Raw genomic sequence first — 22,896 nt, 5'->3', positions numbered from 1 at the left:
GCAAGTTACAGAACGGGAGAATATTTTTGCAATCTACTCATCTGACAAAGGTCTAATATCCAGAATCACAAGGAACTTAAATAAATTTACGAGAAAAAATAAACAACCCAATCAAAAGTAGGCAACGGATATGAACACACACTTCTCAAAAGAAGACATGTATGTGGCCAACAAGCATACAAAAAAAAGCTCATCATCCCTGATTATTAGAGAAATGCACATCAAAACTACAAGGAGATACTATCTCAGGCCAGTCAGAATGGCGATGATTAAAAAGTCAAGAAACAACAGATGCTTGCAAGGCTGTGGAGAAATAGAGTTTTACACTGTTGGTGGGAATGCAAATTAGTTCAACCATTGTAAAAGACAGTGTGGCAATTCCTTGAGGACCTAGAACCAGAAATATCATTTAACCCATCAATCCCATTACTGAGTATATACCCAAAGGATTATAATTCATTCTACTATAAAGACATATGCACATGTATGTTTATTGTAGTACTATTTACAATAGCAAAGACACGGAACCAACCCAAATGCCCATCAATGATAGACTGGATAAAGACAATGTGGCACATATACACCATGGAATGCTATGCAGCTATAAAAAGGAATGAAATCATATCCTTTACAAGAACATGGATAAAGCTGGAAGCCATCATTCTCGGCAAACTAACACAGAACAGAAATCCAAACGCTGCTTGTTCTCACTCATAAGTGGGAGTTGAACTATGAGAACGCATGGACACAGGGAGGGGAACAACCCACACCGGGGCCTGTCGGGGGTTTCAGGGCAAGGGCATGGAGAGCATTAAAACAAATACCTAATGCACGTGGGGCTTAAAACCTAGATGATGGGTTGATAAGTGCAGCAAACCACCATGACACATGTATACCTATGTAACAAACCTGCACGTTCTGCTCATGTATCCCAGAACTTAAAGTGAAATAAAAATAAATAAAATAAAATAAATAAAGCTCACAGAGTTGTTCTTTATGTACTATTTTCTATTCTCAAGTGGCTGAGGCATGCTAAAAGCCTCTAATCACAATCTTGAAAATAAAAACGTATGATTTCTTAAAGGTAAAGTAAATATATTCAGCTGATAATACCAAATATTTACATTAATCCAAGTTTAAGTCAGTCCTCATTCCTACATTTGATATCACCTCTAGTAAAAAGAAAACAAAGTTTCTAAAATTTTTCTGAGGTTTAGAATCCAACTAATATTACTTTCCTTCTCTGATTGAAATGACCAATGAATAAATGACAAGGACCATTTGAAAGCTATGTTTCTAAGTCTGATCAAAAAGAGAAAAAAAGAAAGGCCCTGGTCAAGGGCTACAGATTTGCATGGGACCTCATGAACCAAATCCAGCTTCTAGATTCCCTTTCTTCTCTGAGCTCAAGGGTGAAGATACAGAATTCTGAATTTCAGGGAAGCTATGCAGGGAGAAGAGTACCTGAGATCCTTTCAAGTCAATAGCAACAGAGGTCTTTTTTTGTATGTTTGTTTGTTTGTTTTTCATACATAGCATTCCTCTTTTTTTCTAGCAAATATCTTGTTGGATTTACAAGTAATTGGGATTATTTTTGTTGATACTGGAATACTGGAAAAGAGTTCACACAGTCGGGTGCTGAATGGGGGAGCAAGTCTAATAGGAATATTGGTACCAAATTCCTAAAATCTCATCAGGAATTAGAAGAGGGCATCCAGTTTTGTTTTTGATTCTTTTAAATAGACTCTTCTTGAAGTTGTAATTAAATGCAATTAAATAATTAATGAAATAAAACATATGGATCATCAATTTTAGATTGTGAAAAGTTGTCTCCATATAGCACATGGAAAAGTTTATCCCACTTCACAACTTTTGCTCAACGTTATAGAGACTGATAGGTGGAAGAACACAGCACACAGTAATAGGTGTAGTAGGGATAAATATAATAGACATAGTAGCAACAATGCCTGATATCGATTAATTATATGCCTACTACATGTATGTACATATATAAAAATACACATACACACATAAATATGTGTAAGTATCTTAAAATTTTTTCGCTAAGCAGGTATAGTTGCCACATAGAGATGAGGAAACAAGTTAGAGAAGATAACAAATTTTGCCAGTCTAATAACTATCAAATAGCTAAACAAATAAATATCTAAACAGCTAAATATCAAATGCATAAGGACCTAAACCCACATTTTCCTACTCAAAAGTCACCACTAATTACACCATTCAACATTTTGCCTATTTTATTTCTTACAAGATTTCACAAAATTCTCCTTTCTACAAATTATATTTTTCTAATTCTAGCTTTTCCTGAATTATTAATTCCCCTAGACTTTTCCTGGAATGACTTCAAACCTTTTCACTTCCTGGCTTTATTTTAGCAGTCTTTGGGCCCTGATGGCCAGGCCGATCCTCATGAAAGTGGAAAGCTGCCATTTCTCATTAGCCCCTGCTGTTTGTTATCACAAAACCATCTCCAAGGTTAAGTAGTGTAATAGTGATCCCTGAGGTCTGCCTTTGCTTTTTGCCTTTGATGGAACATTTGTGAGCATGAGCCCAAGCTAGGCTTTTACTATTATCTTACTACCACAAGAGGAGTATCATTTAATATAATCAATAATCTACTATATTTCAGGGATACATTCCACGATAATCACAATCATAAGTCATTAGTGCTTCTAATTGGAAAATAAAGGATACTCCTGTGCCTTTACAAAGAAAATCACATTTGTTATAAATGTATTTACAGCCTTGATATAATGAGCATGTTACATTAAGCAGTTAAGCAGCCTGTTTAACCAGGTATGACAAAATGTAGTAACCTCAGGGGATCAAAGTGATTGTCTCACAAGAAAGACAGGAAAAAGCAATAAAGCTGGGATCCCCATTTGAAATGCACACAGGGGCCAAGTGGTTATCATAAAGCATGGTCTTTGCCAGGCACAGGGGCTCATTCCAGTAATCCTAGCACTTTGGTTGAACAAGGTGAGAAGATTGCTTAAGGCTGGGAGTTGAGACCAGTGTGGGCAACATAGCAAGACCCTGTCTCTACCAAAAAATAAAATTTTAAAAAATCAGCCTGGTGTGGTGATGCATGCCTGTAGTCTCAGTTACTTGGGAGACTGAGGCAGGAGGATCACTTGAGCTCAGGAGTTTAAGGCTGCAGTGACCTATGATCGTGTCACTGCACTGCAGCCTGGGTGACATGGTTCTGTCTCTAAAAAACAAAAGAAGAAAGAAAAACAACAAAAAAAAAACCACTGAGTAAGATATCTTTAATAGGGAGGGGTAGTAGTCTGTATCTTCAATAGGGAGTAGTGCACTGTGGTGAACCGAAGTGCCCATACCAGCTGTAATGTGGTAGTCACAGCTTATAATCCAATGTGTCTAGTATTGTTAGAACCCTAAATTTTGTGGGGAGAAATAGAAATACAGATTTAAACGTTAAATCCCCCAGATGTTTAATGTTGGAAGTAGACTCAATCTATTTCAGAAAAATAGGCCAAATCTAACATTTGTGATTTTAATACCAGAGGAGTGTTTAGTAGTCATCAAAAATGTAGAATTACTGGTTCCCTTCCAAAAACCCACGAATATCTATAGAAGAATTAGCCAAGGCTAGTTGTATATCATGTTTATGTTTGAAATAAATCATAATGTATAGGTATTTCCCTCATTATAAGAATTTGTGTAACATGAGTTATAAACAAATATTTATTGTATGCATGCTAAAAATAATGAAATATATTTTAGTAATAGAAGAAATATTATACATTTTCTTAAGAGAATTTAAGTGTCCAATAGTTAGAATTCAAGCATTTATATTAAAAACAGCCACACCAACATGACCTGCAGAAAACTCAGGACAAAGAAAAAGAAAAAAACTCCAATATAAGACCCTTAGCCCTCTATAGCACATGTGAAACATATCATTAATGAAACATTTTAAATAATGAACTGATGTATCTAGAGTAATGTTTTTATGGACAGGATAAATAATCCGAAATGGTATATGCCACTTGTTTCTATGTAGTATTTGGTGTGTGCATTTTTAAGTTTTTTCTTATCTGTATTTTCTATTTTTTAGTCTCATTGTAAAGATCTTAAAATCTTATGTTGCTTTTTCTTTCTATTTTTATTCTGATTGTATATATCTTATAATAAATGACTAAAATTATACCATGTCCTTCCAAGTTCTGAAAATAAATACTTATCAAAACACAAAAAACAAAGCATTTGGAAGTTTCAGAGGAATTTTTATTTTAAATAGAATGACTCGTGCAAACTGTAAGTTATGTCATATCACTAAAGACATCTCATAAATACTAAGGCAGAATTTTACATTCGGCATGAAAGGAAACTGAATTAAAGTCATGTACTGTATAAGCAAGACAATGTATCAGTGTTCTCACTTGCCTTGCCCAAGATCACACTGAAAATGGTAAAAGGAATTGGATAGGAAATGTCTGAAAAGCCAGACCCCCAGCCAGAGTGTGGCTATGGGGAATTTCACAACTAAAGGCTGGCAGGGAAATATCATTGGAATGGTTATGAAACATTAGGACATCTTCCTGTTTCCTCCAGGAGCAAGAGAAGAAGCCTGGATTCTGCTATTAGCCATTATTTTGAGATTTCTGTTATGATTTTTAGGCTTGAAGGCACGGAAAAGTGGAGACGCGTTCTACATTAGTTGTAGAATTCTAATGAGCTCAGTAATTATGGGAATCATCTGGAAAGAAGAGCTGTCTCACCTTTGGATTCTAAAAATGCCTTATAATGGAAGGAGACCCTGAGCATAGCTTGTGCAAAATTTGGGGCCTTTATATCAGATAGATTTCAAAGCACAGAGCTACAAATAAAGATTTTGAATGGTACATGTCAAGACTCAACACTTTGGCCATTCAAGTGGACTATATGTTGAGTGTATTATGAATCTTCTGGAAAGGGCTTGAAGTAACTAGCAAGTTTTCTATAAAATCCATGGAAATATTTATTTGTTGCTTGCAAAGGTGATTAATTGAAGGGCCCTGGACATAGAGTTTCAGAGATCAGGTTGAGAAAGTGAGCTTATTGTTAACCATCCTTAAATCAATTGCTTCTAAATCTCTGCAGGTAAGATTTGTGTAAATTTTAATAAGAAACATTATTACGTTCTATATTTATATTTTTAAAGATTTATATTGAAAATAAATACTGTAAAATAAGATAAAAAACCAATGAACAAGAATTAAAAGCTAAAAGTAATAACAGTACCAAAAAAAGAAAAAAGTATAAAAGAAAAATAATTAACAAGGACTTCTAATGGAAATAATGAAAATAAAATACTAACACCACTGAAGAACTAGAATTAAAAATGAAAGAAAATGGACTAAAAGATCACAAAAAATTAAAACTAAAAAAGATTAAAAATATTTTAAAATAATGAATAACAATAAAAGTATAATAGTGTGATTATATTTATTTTATGTGCTTAATTTGATTGTTAAAGAGTTTCATGTAAGTCAACTCTCTTTAATTAATACCACCTATAAATTTTGATATACAAGAACAATGACACTGACCCGTCAGACACTGTCTTCATGCCTTACTTTTTCATGATGGTCTTGATTTGTCTCATAGGTTCATAATCTCTTCTTTGCACACCTCCTCATTTCAATTGCACACTTTCAAATGTTTAAACAATTTTACTTTTATTAATATTTCATACTCTTTGGAAGTCATCCTTAAACTTCTTCCAACCTTAGATGGCTCTAAAAAGCAGGTTTCCTAACTCCTTCCCCTGTGTGTGTATATGTATGTGTATGTGTAACATTATCTTCAGTTTTATGTAAATGCACACTGACCTGTCATGTAAATACATAAGCAAGCATGGTTTCTACTTGCTCTCTTATTGCTAAACCCTTTCAAACTATTTGGCAGAGAGAAACAACTCTTTCTTTTCTGGGGAAGAAAAGTGTAGCATCAGAGAGTATCATTCTTATGTTCAGCTTCATAGTAAGAAATATTTGGAATGGGATTCTGTTTAGTAAATTTTTACTGAATATTTGATTTTTAAACAGGTATTCTTATATTAATTATAACAGTTACATAAGAAATTTGATATGACACTTTTCACTAGAGGTTGATTGGTTTTGGACACTATATGAATAAGTTTTGTCTATTAAACCACAGTAGATGTGATAAAAAATGATCATTTAGCAACAGTTCTGTAGATCTGTTCATGTCCAAAGAAGCCACAAGAAAGATTTATGAAAGAGAATATCCAGCAGTGTTAACATTTCTGAGCTTCTGGAAGAAAATGGGGGATCAAGGGAAACATCTTCACATTAGAGGAACAACAATATCTCATAAGGAGTCCATTGTTGAATTAAAAATTTAAAAAAAAGTTTTTTAATGCCACGAAGTCTGTGGATTAGTCTTCTCTGTTTACCATAGAGAAACTATATTGGCTTTCACAGAGGTGACTAAATGTTCTTGAGCTATTTATTTTTACTAAATAATTTTAGTTGATTGAATTAAAACATTTTGTATTTTTTCAACGTGTTTATTAAATCACTATAAAGACACAAAAGATGACAATTCATCCTTATCCACCTGCCCTCTTTGATATTAGGATTGTTACGTATTATTTTGTTTTAATATTTTTGTTATGTGACAGAAAAAAGAAAGGTATGGGGAGAAAAAGCACTTCTTTTTACATTCATTAGGAACTTTTCCTCTTTGTTCTTTTCTCCTAGTCTCTTTTGCTTCCCTCCTGAGGCACAAATCTCTTTTGCTTCCCTTCTGTTGCACAAATCTCTTTGCTCCTCTGTTCATTAATTCATTATCTATTGAATAACACCATGGGAAACAACACATTGCTCCCCAAGGTGCTTTCAATAAATAATGAAGCAACCAGATGACTAGGTCTCACCAACATGGGAGAGGAGTGAGGAGCTGAGAATTTGTGAAAGGCATGGGATTATTTTTTGAAAGGAATTGTTTTTTTCACTTGTACTATACAGAAGCCTTGGGTCCCATTTCCCTTCATGGGGTTCCATAAGTTTTAGCTCCAAAATTTTATTGAGAAACACAACTGGGGACTTCTCAGGAATCCACACTGATCTTGTCAGCTGCCTGGGTTGTGAAATTGGTGAGAGAGAAATGACAGGAGTGTTGTCAGCAGCCACAGTGTCAGCAGAAAACAAAGTGAACAGACACATGTGACTCAAAGGAGCCATGTTTGTGGCTATTAGAAACTTAGACTGACTTGCTAATGTCTTACTCATGGCACTAAAACAAGAAACAGGTATTTGTAATGGTGATCGAGGTCCATTTACAATTGGTTCGGCAAGGGAGTGACTGATTTGTTGGTGAGCATTTTGACACTGGTTCATATTCTCTAATCACGTCATTCAGCTGATTAAAAAACAAGGTCATAGTTTGTTCAGGTTTAATCAGAATATATTCATATAAAATACATATTCACTACATTTTACATCTCTAAAATTTCACCAGACACTAAATAAGAATGAAGTAAGTAAATTGATAAAAAATTAGATTAAAGGAAGAACTTCTGTTTTTGCAAATTCTTGTCACTATGCACAAAATCTACTCACCATTTCATGTTGTGTTTCTCGTGTTTTATTCATCAAGAGATAAAAGGAAAAACAGTGGGAAATTTTGAAAATAAGAATCTTAAGGCTAAAGAGGTTGCTAATATGTAACTTTGTTTTGAAATAGGACTGGAGTCAGAACTTATGGAGGGAAAAGGTAGCTGCAGACTACTCTTCTGAAAAATAAGAAGCAATTGAAGGCACACACGTAATTTCCTTTTGCTACTTATCTTGGCATCTGACAGCTCTTAAAATCATGATTGGCTTCGTAAGACTAACAAATATAAGGTGGTAAGTTAAAAAGGCACTACTTTTCTTGTCTTGGTTTTGTTTGAATCAAAATAGCGGCCTATATATAGGTTCCTACATAAGATAATATTATGTAAACCCAAATAGAACCCTCTGGGAGCTACATTACCACCACCATCACCTTCTTTGCTTTACCGCACTAACTGGCACTTTTAATTTTCCTGGAAAGAGGTCTCAGTAAGGATAAACTTCATAAACCAGTAAGCTTTAGGTGTTTAGAACACCTTCTGGAAAAGCAATGTCCAGAAATGTTGCCCTGAAAACTCTGTGCGTGTTTCTGACTTAACCCCGAAGTACTCTTGTTAGAAAGATTTGATTAATCTTGGTTTCAGTATTCCTTTTCCTGAGTTGATGTGGATGGGGAGATCATGGGAAGAAGGTAGATAAAAGAGCAGTTATTCTGTTAAATTTCATCTAAAAGTCATCTTCTGAGATCACACAATGGTAAAAACATTAGCTTTTGACAAAGTTGACTTGAGTTTGAAATCAGCTTTGCTATGATCCTTAGATAAATTACTTACATTTACTGAATTTAAATTTCCATAATCATAAAATGGAGCTAAACCCATCCATCTCGTATGATTACTGTTAATATTAGGAATAATTCACATCAAGCACCTAACGCAGCTCTTGGCATCTATTAAATAGTAAATGTTCAATAAATTATAGCTAACATTGTTACTCTTTTCATCATCCCTTTAAAACATTACAAATCCACCTAATTTCCTATACCAATCTTAACTATATGCCTTTCTGTTTAAATGTAAACTTTATTTTTTTATTTTATACACACATATGTATATGTACTTTAGAAATAACTGAAAGTCATCTTTTTGTTCTTAAAATACCTGTCTCCATTACTGATATCTTGTTAAACAGCAACTTACAAGAACAGAAATAAGTTACTTCTGTTTTTTCTCCAAGCATTTATTGCATTTGTCCTATTCAACATGTAGCCATAAAAGTGATTTATGTGAGATGAAAGCTAAAAGCGATAGCTTAATTTCTCCAAATTAAACAATTCCTCAAATCTATGCAAATTGAAATGTCCAAATGTGATGGGAGATGTAAAATGCTAACTGCAAGTAATGTTAAAGAGGCTATTCTTTTAATAAATTAAAGACTGATGCTATTAGCATTGTTAACAAAAGAATTTTAAGAACGGATCCTTCTACACTTGTGTACATAATCTAGATAAGGTGTGGAAGTGACTAGCCCAATTTACAGCCCTCACAGCATTCCTTCAAACAGTAGTCACCAATGTATGAAAAGGGATCCTATAAAAAATAACAGATGCTGCAGCCATACTAATCTGTATATTCTTGCCTAAAAATAGCATTTTAAAATGCACCTCCTCTGGTTCTTGTTTGTTCATTTCGTGTATGTAACTTCAAGATTTTACATAACAGCACCATAACAACATTGCACTAGAGACAGTTTTATTCATTTCAGTAGCTTACACTGACACTCCTTTTAGAAAACAGCCATTTTGATGGCTAACATTAAAAAAAACATATTAAATATGAACATATGAGCAGCTCAGAGGAACCTCTTTGTCATATTTGTCAGAAACTGAGAATTTCATTCGGAGTTCCTGGAGCTCAGGGCAGATGGAAATGTACAGTTCCTTAGTTTGAGAAGTCATTAATATTCCAACCTGTAATAGGCATTAAGAAAAACTACAATCTGGGATTTGGACCACTGTACCAGAATTAGTTTAGATTCTTTGAATATTACGTTATGCAAATGTAACATATTGTTTCTTTTTCGAATTTTGAAGAAATCCATAGGAAAGAAATATCAGAAAAATAAGTCCGGATTATATACATATTAAAGTAATATTTTCCTGTTACAATGTTTTTTCAATAATTAATGAGTGTATATTTCAGAGTTACTAATAGCCTGAGAGACAGGAACTGAAGAATGTCGGCAGCTCCCCTGTGTTTGAGACAATGTGTCATACTCTGCTGTATGGGAATGTTGGGGCTCAGCAAACAACACCCCAAAATGAAGGCCTCAGCACCATCCTCAAAAACAAAAGTTGTTTTTTCTTTTTTTTTTTTTCTCTGACCTTCTCCTGCCCTCTTGTCTTTCTGAGTCATTCTGTCCCTAGGATAGCCATTAAACCTAGAACCCCTCTTCGCCAAGACAGGCCATAGAAATCAGAACCCCTTTTCCAGAAAGCCGGCCATAAAACCTAAAAATGTTCTATGTAAAAACTGGCCATAAAGAAATCTTACTTAACTTGTTTGACTGTGGGTCATAAGACCCCCATTCCAGAGAGGGTCCTATCCGCACCTGGAAAGAAAGAATGCATGTTCAGAGAGGCCAAGAAGAGTCTAGGCAGGCATTGCTGGGTTTTTCCACTCAGCCTGTTAGCATGAGATCATACCCTTTTTGTGTAATCACTTTTCTACATAGCTGTCCATACTTTGTTGAACCTAAGCACAAAAATGGGCAAATTTCCCCTGTGTCTTTGGGTCTTCATTCTGAATCCTCCTGTGTATACACGTTAAATAAATTTGTATGTCTTTTCTTCTAGCAATCCATCTGCCTTATGTCAGTGATTTTTCAGCAAACATTTAGGGGGCCAAGTTTCTTAGCTCCTACAGAGACTTACTTGGTAACCAGAATGTTCTCCTTTCTTGAGTTATTTTGCATACAACTATATGTAGCTTGGCCTAATGCCAAAGTCAACTATGCTGGGAAATGAAATAATTTATGAAAACACACAAATAGATGCACACACATAATCTTGTAGTTTACGAAAATTGTCTTTGTGTGTTTTTTCTTAATTCCTATTATCTACCTTAGTAAATTCACATTTAAGTAGAATCTAGGATTTTTCCATTCTACTGCAGGAAATGCATAAGAGCAAAAGTATGAGAACTCTCCAGTGTACATATATAGGAAAAAACACTGAAGTTTACATGAAATTATCAAACTGATCATCGAGCTAACAGTAAAATTCTTTGTTTTAAAAAGCAGAGTTATTCTTTTTTTTTTTTTTTTTTTTAGAGTTTCACTCTTGTCGTCCAGGCTGGAGTGCAGTGGCATGATCTTGGCTCATTGCAACTTCTGCTTCTGGGGTTCAAGCGATTCTCCTACCTCAGCCTCCTGAGTAGCTGGGATTACAGACACCTGCCACCATGCCCAGCTAATTTTTGTGTTTTTAGTAGAGACAGGGTTTCACCATGCTGGCCAGGCTGGTCTCAGACTCCTGACCTCAGTCAATCCACCTACCTCAGCCTCCCAAAGTGCTGGGATTACAGGTGTGAGCTACCGTGCCCAGCCTAAAAAGTAGAATTTTTTAAATGGCTAAAATAATTGCAATAAAAATAGAAATGAAATTTGTACAGGTCAAGTGCTATAAAAAATTTCAAAATATAGACACGAATTTTCATACTCACCATGACAAATTTAACCATTATTTGAAAAAATAATTACATGAAAGACACAGACTTAGTTTTCCAGCCTGTTGACAAAATAATATAATAGTCCTATACGCTTTCTTAAAGAAAGAAACAACACTTGCCCACAGGAAGACATGAGTTGTAGGGGCCAAAATTACAGTTGACTATTTCATACAGAAAAGAGACATCATTTTTAAATGTTTTTATATTCAAGTTATAAAACAATTAAGATCTAGTGGTGAATTTCTGCTCATGTTTAGATTAACTGAAAGTGTATTCCAAGTTTACATAAACATAAAATAAAACGCTATACATTATTTGAGAGACAATTTGATGGGGCTGGGAGAGAGAGGGAAGGAAGAAAGCAAAGAAAGAAAAAAAATGAAAGTTATCTATTAAGTACATATGAATGACAAAGAAAAGCATTTTAGCTTTAGGCTTCTAGAACAATTAAAGGAGGCGGTACACCTTAAATTGTCTAACAGTTTGTTACTTTAGCCCTTTTCTATATATTAAAGAAAAATAGGAATAAGAAAATAAAACATTTTATTACAAATGGGAGCTAAACATTAAGTACATGTTGACATAAAGAAGGAAGTAACAGACACCGTGGTCTAGTTGAGGATGGAGAGAGAGAGGAGGATGAGGATCAAAAACTGCCTATCGGGTACTATGCTTATTACCTGTGTAACTGAATAATCTGTACACCAATCCCCAGGGACATGCAATTTACCTATATAACAAACCTGCACATGTACCCCTAAGCCTAAAATAATTTTTTAAGTTTAAAAATAAATAAATACATAAATAGAGATATCTGGTATTTGAAAATATTTGGCTCCTATTCTTCAATCAAACCTGATTGTCAATAGTTAAAATTAAAAACAACTACTTCTTTCCTATTTCCTCATAATTGTCTATTGTTTCCATGGAATAAAACTGTGGATGCACAAAAACCAGGTGTGCTGTCTTTGTAAATAGCCCATATATTATACAACATTGAAATTGATTCTGACAGGTTATTTATTGTTGGCTTTACTCCAAGATTGGAAATATTATAACATTGTGAGATGAATATATTGAGAAAAGAACAGTAAGGCAAAGAATAAATAAGCAAAAGTAATTAGGAATGGATTACATTCTTTAATGTAAAGGAACACGTTTTGCTAAAGTATGTACAACTCCCAATGCATGTACAATTCCCAATAGCAGAATTTTGTTGAAATTAATTCTTTGAGCTATTTTCTGAAAATTTAAAGTTTTGTTTTAACATAATTTTTTATGTTGTGTTCATCTTGTCATCATTTGGATGCCATCAAATAACCATTAACATCTTTTTCTCAGTAAATAGAATGATTTCCTACAAATTTAAAGAAATCATTTTATTTGTTTTTAATTGAAATTTTAAAATATATACCTTGTCTATTTATTTTGACCATTAACAGTGAATGATAAGTAGCATAAATTATTTCTACTAGTTCTGACTCTGCTTCTCTGATCTATGCTATGGTTTTAACAGGTTAAGAGAGCTAAATGTCTTTTAGTTTTCTGTAGCATAGTCAGTTAAGCCATCAATAAACTTAGATTCCTGTCCTGGTTGTTGTAGAACGAGATTACTATTATAATAAAAAATCAGTAAGTATATCAGATTACACACATCTTCTGTATTCTAGAGTTAATTTCCTCTAGTTGTAATCATGAATTCTTTTAGATTAATATAATCATGAATTCTTTTGTGCTTTTTTTCTTCAAAAATGTTAAGTTTCTGAAATTCAACTATGTTTAGTCTGTGCTGCTTATTAATTTTCTTTGCTTAAACTCTCGCTTTGAATGAATATACTAAAAAATTTGTTCATATATCTGGAAGAACATATACAGAATATTTGCATATGTACTTAAGAGAAAAATCACTACATGAGACAGATTGTGGGTCTTAAAATGTGTTAAATAATGTAAAACTGTTTTCTGAGATGATTGAAGCAATTTACATTCTAATTAACAGAATATGAAGATACTAGGTGCCTACAATCTTGCCAGTAGTTACCTATCATGTGGAAATTTTGGCCATTCTGGTGGATAAATAATAGCAACATGTTGTCTTTTTAATATTTATTTTTTTTTATCACCAATAGTATGAAAAATATTTCCATGTGTTTATTGGCCTTTTGCATTTTTTCACATTTGAAGAACTTGCGCTAGTCCTAGTTACCTCCCTTTTTCTCATTGACTGGTGTGGATTCCTTATATATTGTAGGTACTATTCATCCTCTATCTTATGTGTAACAATAATCTTCTCCTTTATGTGAAGTTTCTTTTAAGATTTAACCTTTTTATTATCATCATTTATTGGCTAAGAGGTAATTTATTTAAATGTAATGATAAAATTCGCTATTAATAAATTACCTCTTAACCAATTTTAGTTTAGTAAATAAATGTAATGACAAAATTAGCTATAATAAATTACCTCCTCTTCTAGAAGTCATTCTTTGCAGATTCTTTGAAGATCATTTTCTATATTACATTCTAGAATATGATCAGTTTTAGATTTCACAGTTAAGTCTTTGATCTGACTAGAATTTCCATTTTTTAAAAGTGAGGTAGAGGCATAATTTAATTTTTTTCCATATGGATACCCAATACATCAGCTTTTTTGTTAAAATGATAACTTTGTCCCACTGTTCTGCAGTAGATCTCGTTGTATTTTAATTGTCTATATATGTGTGGCTCTGTTTCTGAGTTTTCTATGTATCCTATCAATCCATGTATATCCTCAAACAAAATCTATGCTGTCTTTACTACTGTAGCTATATCTTTAGCACATATATCTGATCATGTAAATACTCTTTTTTAAAAAATACTAAACTGGCATTCTTTGTCCTTCGCATTTTTCTAAGAATTTTAGAACCAGCCTATCAATTTCACAAAAATGTGTTGAAATGTTTAATAGTGTTCTATTAAATCTGAAATTAAATTCTGGAGTATCAGAGTTTTTGAAACCTAGAAATTTCAATATACAGCCATGCATCACTTAATAACAGAGAGGCCTTCTAAGAAATGCCTCCTTATGCAATTTGGTCACTGTGTGAACATCATAGAGTGTACTGATATAACCCTAGATAACATAGCCTAATAAACACATAGTTTCTATGATAGAGCCCTTGGCTCCTAGGCTACCAACCTATACTGCATGCTACTTTACTGAACACTGTAGGCAACTGTAACTCAATGGTGTCTCTTTGTGTATCTAAACATATTAATATAGAAAAGTTACAGTAAAAATATGATATAAAAGATAAAAAGAGGGCACTTAACATAGATGGAGTATGCCGGCATGGAAGTTCCTCTTAGTGAGTCAGTGAATGAGTAGCAAGTGAATGGAAAGGCCCGGGGCATTACTAGACACTATGTAGACTTTGAAAACATTGGACACCTAGATTATATTAATTTTTTTTAATTTTTTATTCAGTAATGAATTAGCCTTAGCTTACTGTAACTTCTTTATAAACATTTTATTTATTTTAATTTTTGACTCTTGTAGAAACACTTAGCTTAAAACACAAATACATTGTACGACTATAGAAAGATATTTTCATTCTTTATGTCCTAATTCTATGGCATTTTTCTATTTTTAATTTTATTTTACTTTTTAAACGTTTTTGTTAAAAACTAAGACATAAGCACACACATTAGCCTAGGCTCACACAGGGTCAGGATCATCAACGTCATTGTCTTCTGACTTCACAATTTGTCCCTTTGTCCCTCTGAATGGTTTTCAGGGACAATAGGACTTATAGAGAGAGCTGTCATCTCCTGTAATATCAATATCTTCTTCTGAAATATCTCCCGAAAGACCTGACAAAGGCTGTTTTTTTTGTTTGTTTTTTTTTTTTGAGATGGAGTCTTACTATGTCGCCCAGGCTGGAGTGCAGTGGCGTGATCTCGGCTCACTGTAACCTCCGCCTCCCGGGTTCAAGCAACTCTCCTGCCTCAGCCTCCTGAGTAGCTAGGACTACAGGCACTGGCCACCATGCCTGGCTAATTTCTGTATTTTTAGTAGAGACGGGGTTTGGTCAGGCTGGTCTCGAACTCCTGACCTCAGGTGATCCACCCACCTCGGCCTCTGAAAGTGCTGGGATTACAGGCGTGAGCCACCGCGCCCAGCTGGCTGTTTTTTTTATAGTTAACTCTTTTTATTAAGCAGGAGTACACTGTAAAATAGCAATAACAAATATACAGCTATCTAATGAATAACATAGATTTAATATGTACATGTCCAGTTATAAGCAGATCTTTTTCAACCAAACATGGATTAAAAATACAGTATTTGCAGGATGTGAAATATGCATATACATGGAAGGCCAACTTTTTATATACACAGGTTCTATAGGGTCAACTGCAGGACTTGAGTATGTGTGCATTTTGGTATATGTGAGAAGTCCTGGAGTCATTCCTCTGCTTATACTGAGGGACAATTGTAGTACAGTAAATACTAGGTGATAAGAATTTTTCAACTCCATCATAATCTTATGGGACTACTGTAATACACACAGAATGTTATTCACTGAAATGTTATATGATGCATGATTGTATAAACATGCTGTATCTCTCCATTTATTTTGATTCTTCCTTAATGTCTCTCAATACTTTGTTATTTTTATCTTTCATATTTTCTTTAAATTCATTCTTAGGTACTTTGTATATTTGCTGCTATTAAAAAGTACATTATTAATTTAACACTAAAAATTGATATATAAAAATCTAAAGTCACCAAAATTAAGATAATATGAAGAGTGAAAATGTTCTAGAACAAATAATGGCTTCTCTCTTTTTCTCTCGCTAATCTAATTATTAATTTGAACTAATCTCTTCAATAGAAAAGACATTATTATATTGTTCTAATTCTTAAGCATTTCTAGTTCTCAGTGCCTGAATTTTGTTTTTGTAATTTTTGGCTCAGTATGAAAAATGAACACACACTGAACACATAAGAAATCATTATGTACTCTAAAAGTAAAAAATGGATAATTTTGATTATGATGAGGTTGATGGGCTAATTTTAACAGAGAGTCTCTGAAGCTGATGACTTATAACGATAAAAATGGTCATCTTATATTATTAACTAACAAACTTTCTTATATTGCACATTTTATTGTGTAAGTACATACATGTAACACCGATTTGCTAGAGTTGTTTGATTAATCCTGATCATCTAATTGTTTAAAATCAATTCATAATATCAATATTTTGTTCTTGATGTAAGCTACTATTAAGCTCAATTATCTTTTTTAATAAAATATATATTATCTTATTGATGAAGTAGAAATTTCAGGTAATAACCTAAAACAAAAACAAAAAAATAAAATATGTGAAACAATGGTTTTCAAGATATTGGACATCAAGCAATAAAGGATAGAGTTCACTGAGAGACAAGACAGAGATAGGGTTAGCCCTAGGAATTCCTCCACTTACTGACTTAAAATGTTTACAAGCACTGACGCAGTGAAGGGAAATCAAGGTGAAGCTCAGCTCACTCCATGAGTTGAGAAGATGGAGCTTAGGTTCCCGCATAGACTAAGGTAGGCAGAATTTATCAGGCAGAATACCAGAGAGAAGAGAACTTCACAGAGAATCTGATATCTGCAAAGGGTATCCCTTGACTATTCAGCAGTGATCAGAACATAAATGTGAGCAAATCTTTCAAGGCAAGGGAAAGAACCAACCAAATGGATTAGAGGAAAGGGTACATCTATTTCTCCTGATCAAAGCATAAAATCTAAAAATTTACAGGACATTGAAGAGTATCTACAAGGTTGTTGCCTCAGCAGTGGTGAAGATTTAACCTTAGATTAACTGCTCCTTTGGTTTAACAGATTTTTAAAACATTGTACTTTTTACCAATGAATACATAAAAAAAAAACACATTGTTTCCAAACACAAAATTGTGTCCCAGAATACAGCTCAAGAGTATTTGTAAGAATATATAAATATCCAGCACACAACGATGTACAATCTACAATGTCTGGATCAAATCAAAGATCTCCAAGAATGCAGAGAAACAAAAAAATACAATTGGCCCTCTGTATACACAGTTTTCACATTTCTGAATATGGAGGTTCAAATAAGGAACTTGAGCATCCATGAATTTTTGTATCTGCAGAGATCCTGGAACCAATTCTCCATGAATATAGAGGGCCAAATATATGTCCTAAAGTGAGGAGAAAATAAATTGATTGACTTTGACAATAATTGAAACAAATATTACAGTTAGCAGACAAGGATATTAAAGAAGTTACTAGAGCTAAATTCCATATGTTCAAGAAGTTAGGTAGAGACATAGACAAATCTCAAGTCAAATCTTTAGAGTTGAAAATTACAATATCTGAAATAAAAATTCCACTGGATATGACTAATCACAATTAGACATTTCATCCTTTTTTTTTTTTTTTTGACAAGAGTCTTGCTCTGTTGCCCAGGCTGGAATGCAGTGGCACAATCTCAGCTCACCTCCATCTCCTGGGTTCAAGCGATTCTTGTGCCTCAGCCTCCCAGGTAGCTGGGATTACAGGCTAGAAAGAGGGAAAGTGTTGAAAAACTAACTGTAGAGTACTACACTCACTACCTGGGTGATGGGATCATTTGTACCCCAAACCTCACCATCATGCAATATATTCATTTAACAACTCTGCACATGTAACCCGTGAATCTAAAATAAGATCTAAAATTATTTAAAAACTAAACAAAATAAAATAAACATATTATTGAACCTATGTTGATATAAATAAATAATTGAATAAATATTTATTCAATCATGTGAATAAATGAGGGAGAAGAAACAATGTTTCACAGAGAAATTCCAAATAACAAATACAGAAGGAATGAGAAAAAAATCACCTTTAGAACAGTAATGAAACAATTACCGAGGCAAGATGAACTTAAGAATACTAAAGTTACTGGGCTAAAGTTTAGGTACAAAGGATAATTGTAAAGCCTAAAATATATTGTCCAAAATACGTGTTAAATTACTTTTGTGGTTTTACCATATGTCTACAAAATCTGTGATACTGCTTTCTCTGAGAGAAGCTTAATTTCTTTTCTTGATTTTGGGGTGGAAATGGTGACTTACTTCTAAATAATGGAGTTTGGAAGGAAAGAATAGTAACTTTAGGGTGGAGAAACCCAAGATACAGTACCTTCACCATGTGATCAACATACTGTCACCAGCAATGTCAGGTGGACATCGTGTATCACTTGATATTATGTGATAAAGGGGACATGCCACCTTGTTTTATTTTTTTCCTAAAATCCATAACTTCGGGCTAATCACGGGGAAACATCTGGAACAAAAAACAAGAGAAAAACGTTTTGTAAAATACCTGATTACTGCTCTCAGAGTGTCTAAGTCAGAAAAACAGAATGGTGATGACATTGTCATGCATTGAAGCAGAATAATGAACCTATATAAATTACTAGTATATGCAGCTAGGTAATCTGGATAGATCCTGGAAGGCTAGAGAAAGCCTGTAGTTTAGTTAAGAGTATTGTGCCAATAGTAATTTATTTTTTGACAAATGTGCAATAGTTATATGAGATATAACATGATGGAATGCTGCCTAAAAGATGTAAGTAAACTCTGTGTACTACTTTTGTAATTCTCATGCAAATGTAAAATCGTATCAAAATAAATTTTTAAAAATTGTATGATGCTCATCAATTGACTCAAAACTTACTGTAAAGACATAGTAGCTAAGACAATGTGGTACTGGAGAAGTATAGATACAGATCAATGGAGCAGAACTGGAAGTACTGAAGACAACTACACATACATGGTCAATTGATTTCTGAAAAAATGCAAAGGCAATTCTATGTAGCTACGATAGTATTTTCAACACATGGTGCAAGAACAATTAAGCATCCTTATAGAAAACAGAACCTTAATCTATACTTTCTTCCTTACACAAAAATGAACTCAAAATGGCTCATGACCACAAATATAAAACCTGAAAATAATTCTGTAAGAAACAGGAGAAAATTGTTACAGCCATGATTTAAGCAAATTCCATATTACAGTTCCAAAGAAATCCCACGTAAAAATAAATAAATTGTACTTAATTAAAATTAAAGACACTGCTAAGAGAACAAAAGACATCCCATGCTGTGAGAAAAATATTTGCAAGCTTCTGGATAAAAGGGCTTGGATCCAGAATATATACAGTCTTAGCAAAACTCAGTAAGTATGTAATCAACCCATTAAATATGTGCAAAAGGTTTGAACAGATAATTCTCCCAAGAAGATATACGAAGGGTAATAAACACATGAAGAGTTGGCTCAACATCATTAGTCTTCAGGGAAGTGTAAATTATTACATCACTACCTACTACCAGACAACTAATTGAATGACTTAAAACACAGAGAGAGAGAGAAAATACCAAGTGCTTCGTGTTTGTGAGGCTGCAGAGCAACAGGCACTCTCATACATTGATGCTGGAAGTATAAAAAGTACAGTTGCTTTGGAACAGAGTGAGGCAGCCAAGTATAACGCGGTCCCGGAAGAATCTCCAATCAGCTGCGCACTGGGAGAACAGGGTGGAGCCACACACATTTGCAAGTGGGAGGAGCCTGGCCCCTCCTGTTCCTGTGGTAACCTGGGATTCAATCGGTGAGATGGGGGCCTGTTAACAGTAATCCCTGTCATTTTGCTGTGCTGTTCTTCCTTTTTCCTTTGCTTCCAATAAATTCCCTTCCTCTTTACCCTTCAAAGTGTCTGAGAGACTAATCTTTCCTGGTCGTGTGATAAGAACCTGATTTTCAGCTGAACTAAGGAGAAAGTCTTGCAAAAAGAGTGTGGCACATTTATATAAATGTAAACATATACTTACCATATGACACAGCATTCCAACTGCCAAGTATATATTCAAGTAAATTAAAATTTTGTTTACAAAAGCCTGTATGCAAACATGTATACTAAGCCTGCATGGAAACATGTATACTTTGTTCATATTTGCTAAAAACTAGAAACAGCCCAAATATGCTTCATTTATTGAATTAATAAATAAATCGTTGTGCATCCATACAATAGTGGAATAGCAATATCATAATGCTACTCCTCAATAAAAAGAAACAAATTATTAATCTATGCAATAACATAAATGAATCTCAAATGGGTTATGCCGAGTAAAAGAAGTCACAATTAAAATGTTATATATGATTCCAGTTATACAACATTCTAAAAGAGAAAAAACTCCAGTGACAGAAAGTGGAATGGAGCAGAAGTTGCTTGGGACTGGGCATGAATGGAAGTGTTGATTGCAAAGAGGGATTGTGGAGTTTGGGGAATGATTTTGATAGACATGACTGCAAGCATTTGCCAAAACTTGCAGAAATCTTCACTAAAAAGAGTGAGTTGTACCAAATATCAATTATACCTTAATATATAAAAAAAGGAAAAGCATTGATCCCTTTTCTAGTTTTCTTTACAAAAATCTAGGATTTCAGCATTTACTTTAGCTCCAAAATGACATTTTAAGTAGAGCTTTTTGATGAAAAACATTTAATCCCCATGAAATTGTATTTAAATATTTTTTTTGCCCTGCATACTTCCTGCAGTGAATAAAGATAAGGAATCATTATTTCCTGAAATAATTTTATCTTAAGGAGACTCATGTATAATAAATTTATAATAAATAAATGTTAATGTTAATAAGTGAACTTTAACAAATGACTTTAGTGTAAAATTTGTCCTATAATGATGTTTGAAATTGAAACTAGAACTTTGAAATTGGAACTTTATTATTGAGAAGTGAGTATCAAACTGTATTACTCCAAAAGTTTATCAAATGTTTAAATATGTTAGAAGTTGACATAGAAAAAAGATAAACATTGATAATGATATATTGGTTATGTTTTCTTTGCATAATGGGGAAATTACTCTACTGCTGTTAACTAATTGTAAGCATAAGATATTCCTGAAGATGTTAATGATGCAAATGCAGGTGATAAAACCACTGTTAGTGACATAGTATTAATGGGTATTCTATTAACTGCTCCCCTTGAACAGCATTTTTCAGTGAGCAAGAGATTCAAGGCCATTTATTCAGTTAAAGTGGTATTACTTAGACAGAGAACCATATGAGTGGACCAGATAACAATACCATAGTGTTCTAAAAGGCTTTTAAAACAGCTTTTGTAGTGTTATTTTATCCCTAAGTACCCTATTCCATCATTGTGAAGAGATGTCCAACTCCAGGTTGAATACAGCAGCAATAATAAAGCTCCATTTCCAATATCCTCAAAAATTTGTAATCAATGTGTATTGCACATATGTGTACAGATACAATGTAGTTTGGATCTGCATATGTGAGAAGTTTTATTAAATATATGCATTGAAAATAAGAACTTCTAGTATTTACAGTTTATATTTATCCCACTATTTCATTTACCACTTTAGCAAAATACAGTATGTGCATAAATAGTGATAAAAGAAAAACTTCAGCCAAATTAAATGTAAAGGAGTTTAATTGAGCAATGAGTGATTCATGAATTGGGCAGCCCCCAGAATCACGGTAGAGTCACAGAGACTCCAGGAGTGCCTTGTGGTGAGAACATATTTATAGACAAAAATTGTAAAGTGACGTACAGACATCAAAAGTGAGGTACAGAAACAGCAAGATAGGTTACAACTGGGCATGTGCCTTATTTGAGTGCAGTCTATGAGTGGTTGAAGTATGGCCGCTGGGATTGGCCAACACTCAGGTATTGTTACAAGTTCATGCTATTGAGTTAGGTCTTTTTTTTTTTTTTTTTTTTGAGACAGAGTTTTGCTTTTGTTGCCCAGGCTGGAGTGCAACAGCACAATCTTGGCTCACTACAACATCCACCTCCCAAGTTCAAATGATTCTCCTTCCTCAGGCTCCTGAGTAGCTGGGATTACAGGTGCCCGCCACCACACCTGGCTAATTTTTGTATTTTTAGTAGAGACGGGGTTTCACTATGTTGGACAGGCTGGTCTTGACCTCCTGATCTCAGGTGATCCTCCCGCCTTGGCCTCCCAAAGTGCTGGGATTACTGGAATGAGCCACCGTACCCTGCCAGGTTTTCAATCTGTCTGACTATTGAGCTAGGTTACAGTTCATCCACAAGGACTAAAATATGGAAGGACAGAGTCCTTCTCAGGCCATATTTAGTTTGCTTTAACAATTTTCCCCTTTTGGTCATTTTCTCAATTTTGAGAGAATGACCATAACCTTTAGTATCATTATCGTAAATGTACTTCTATGGTTTTGAACCTCACTGGTTTCCAATAGTGGGTTTTGCAAGGAGGGAGGACTAAGTAGAGGGTACCTCCTTAGGCTGGCACATTCTGTTTACAGGAGAAAAAACAAAACCTGGTCTGTTCTAGGATCTATGTATTTTCTTGAAGCCTTAGTTTGATTATGTCACATTTAGCATGAGTGACTCCATTTTAGTTTGGTTTGGTTTGGTTTGTTGGGGACTAGTGCATACGCTCAGTTCAAAATAATGGCCTCCAATAACTTGGTTTTAAAAGATGCCCCCCTTTTTGCCAGGT

At 34.0% G+C, this 22,896-nt stretch overlaps 1 annotated feature.

Annotated features, from left to right (window-relative positions):
• Positions 2,171-2,791: an enhancer, noted in NCBI's record as "OCT4-NANOG hESC enhancer chr14:48435515-48436135 (GRCh37/hg19 assembly coordinates)". NCBI's record gives its function as "activates a minimal SCP1, AML or CMV promoter by ChIP-STARR-seq in naive H9 embryonic stem cells {active_cell/tissue: H9 hESC(naive)}" and the evidence as "EXISTENCE:reporter gene assay evidence [ECO:0000049][PMID:30033119]".

This window comes from Homo sapiens, chromosome 14 (assembly GCF_000001405.40).
Source record: "Homo sapiens chromosome 14, GRCh38.p14 Primary Assembly".
Lineage (NCBI taxonomy): Eukaryota > Metazoa > Chordata > Mammalia > Primates > Hominidae > Homo > Homo sapiens.
The sequence above is the reverse complement of the archived record's forward strand: the minus strand, read 5'-3'. Positions and strand labels throughout refer to the sequence as shown.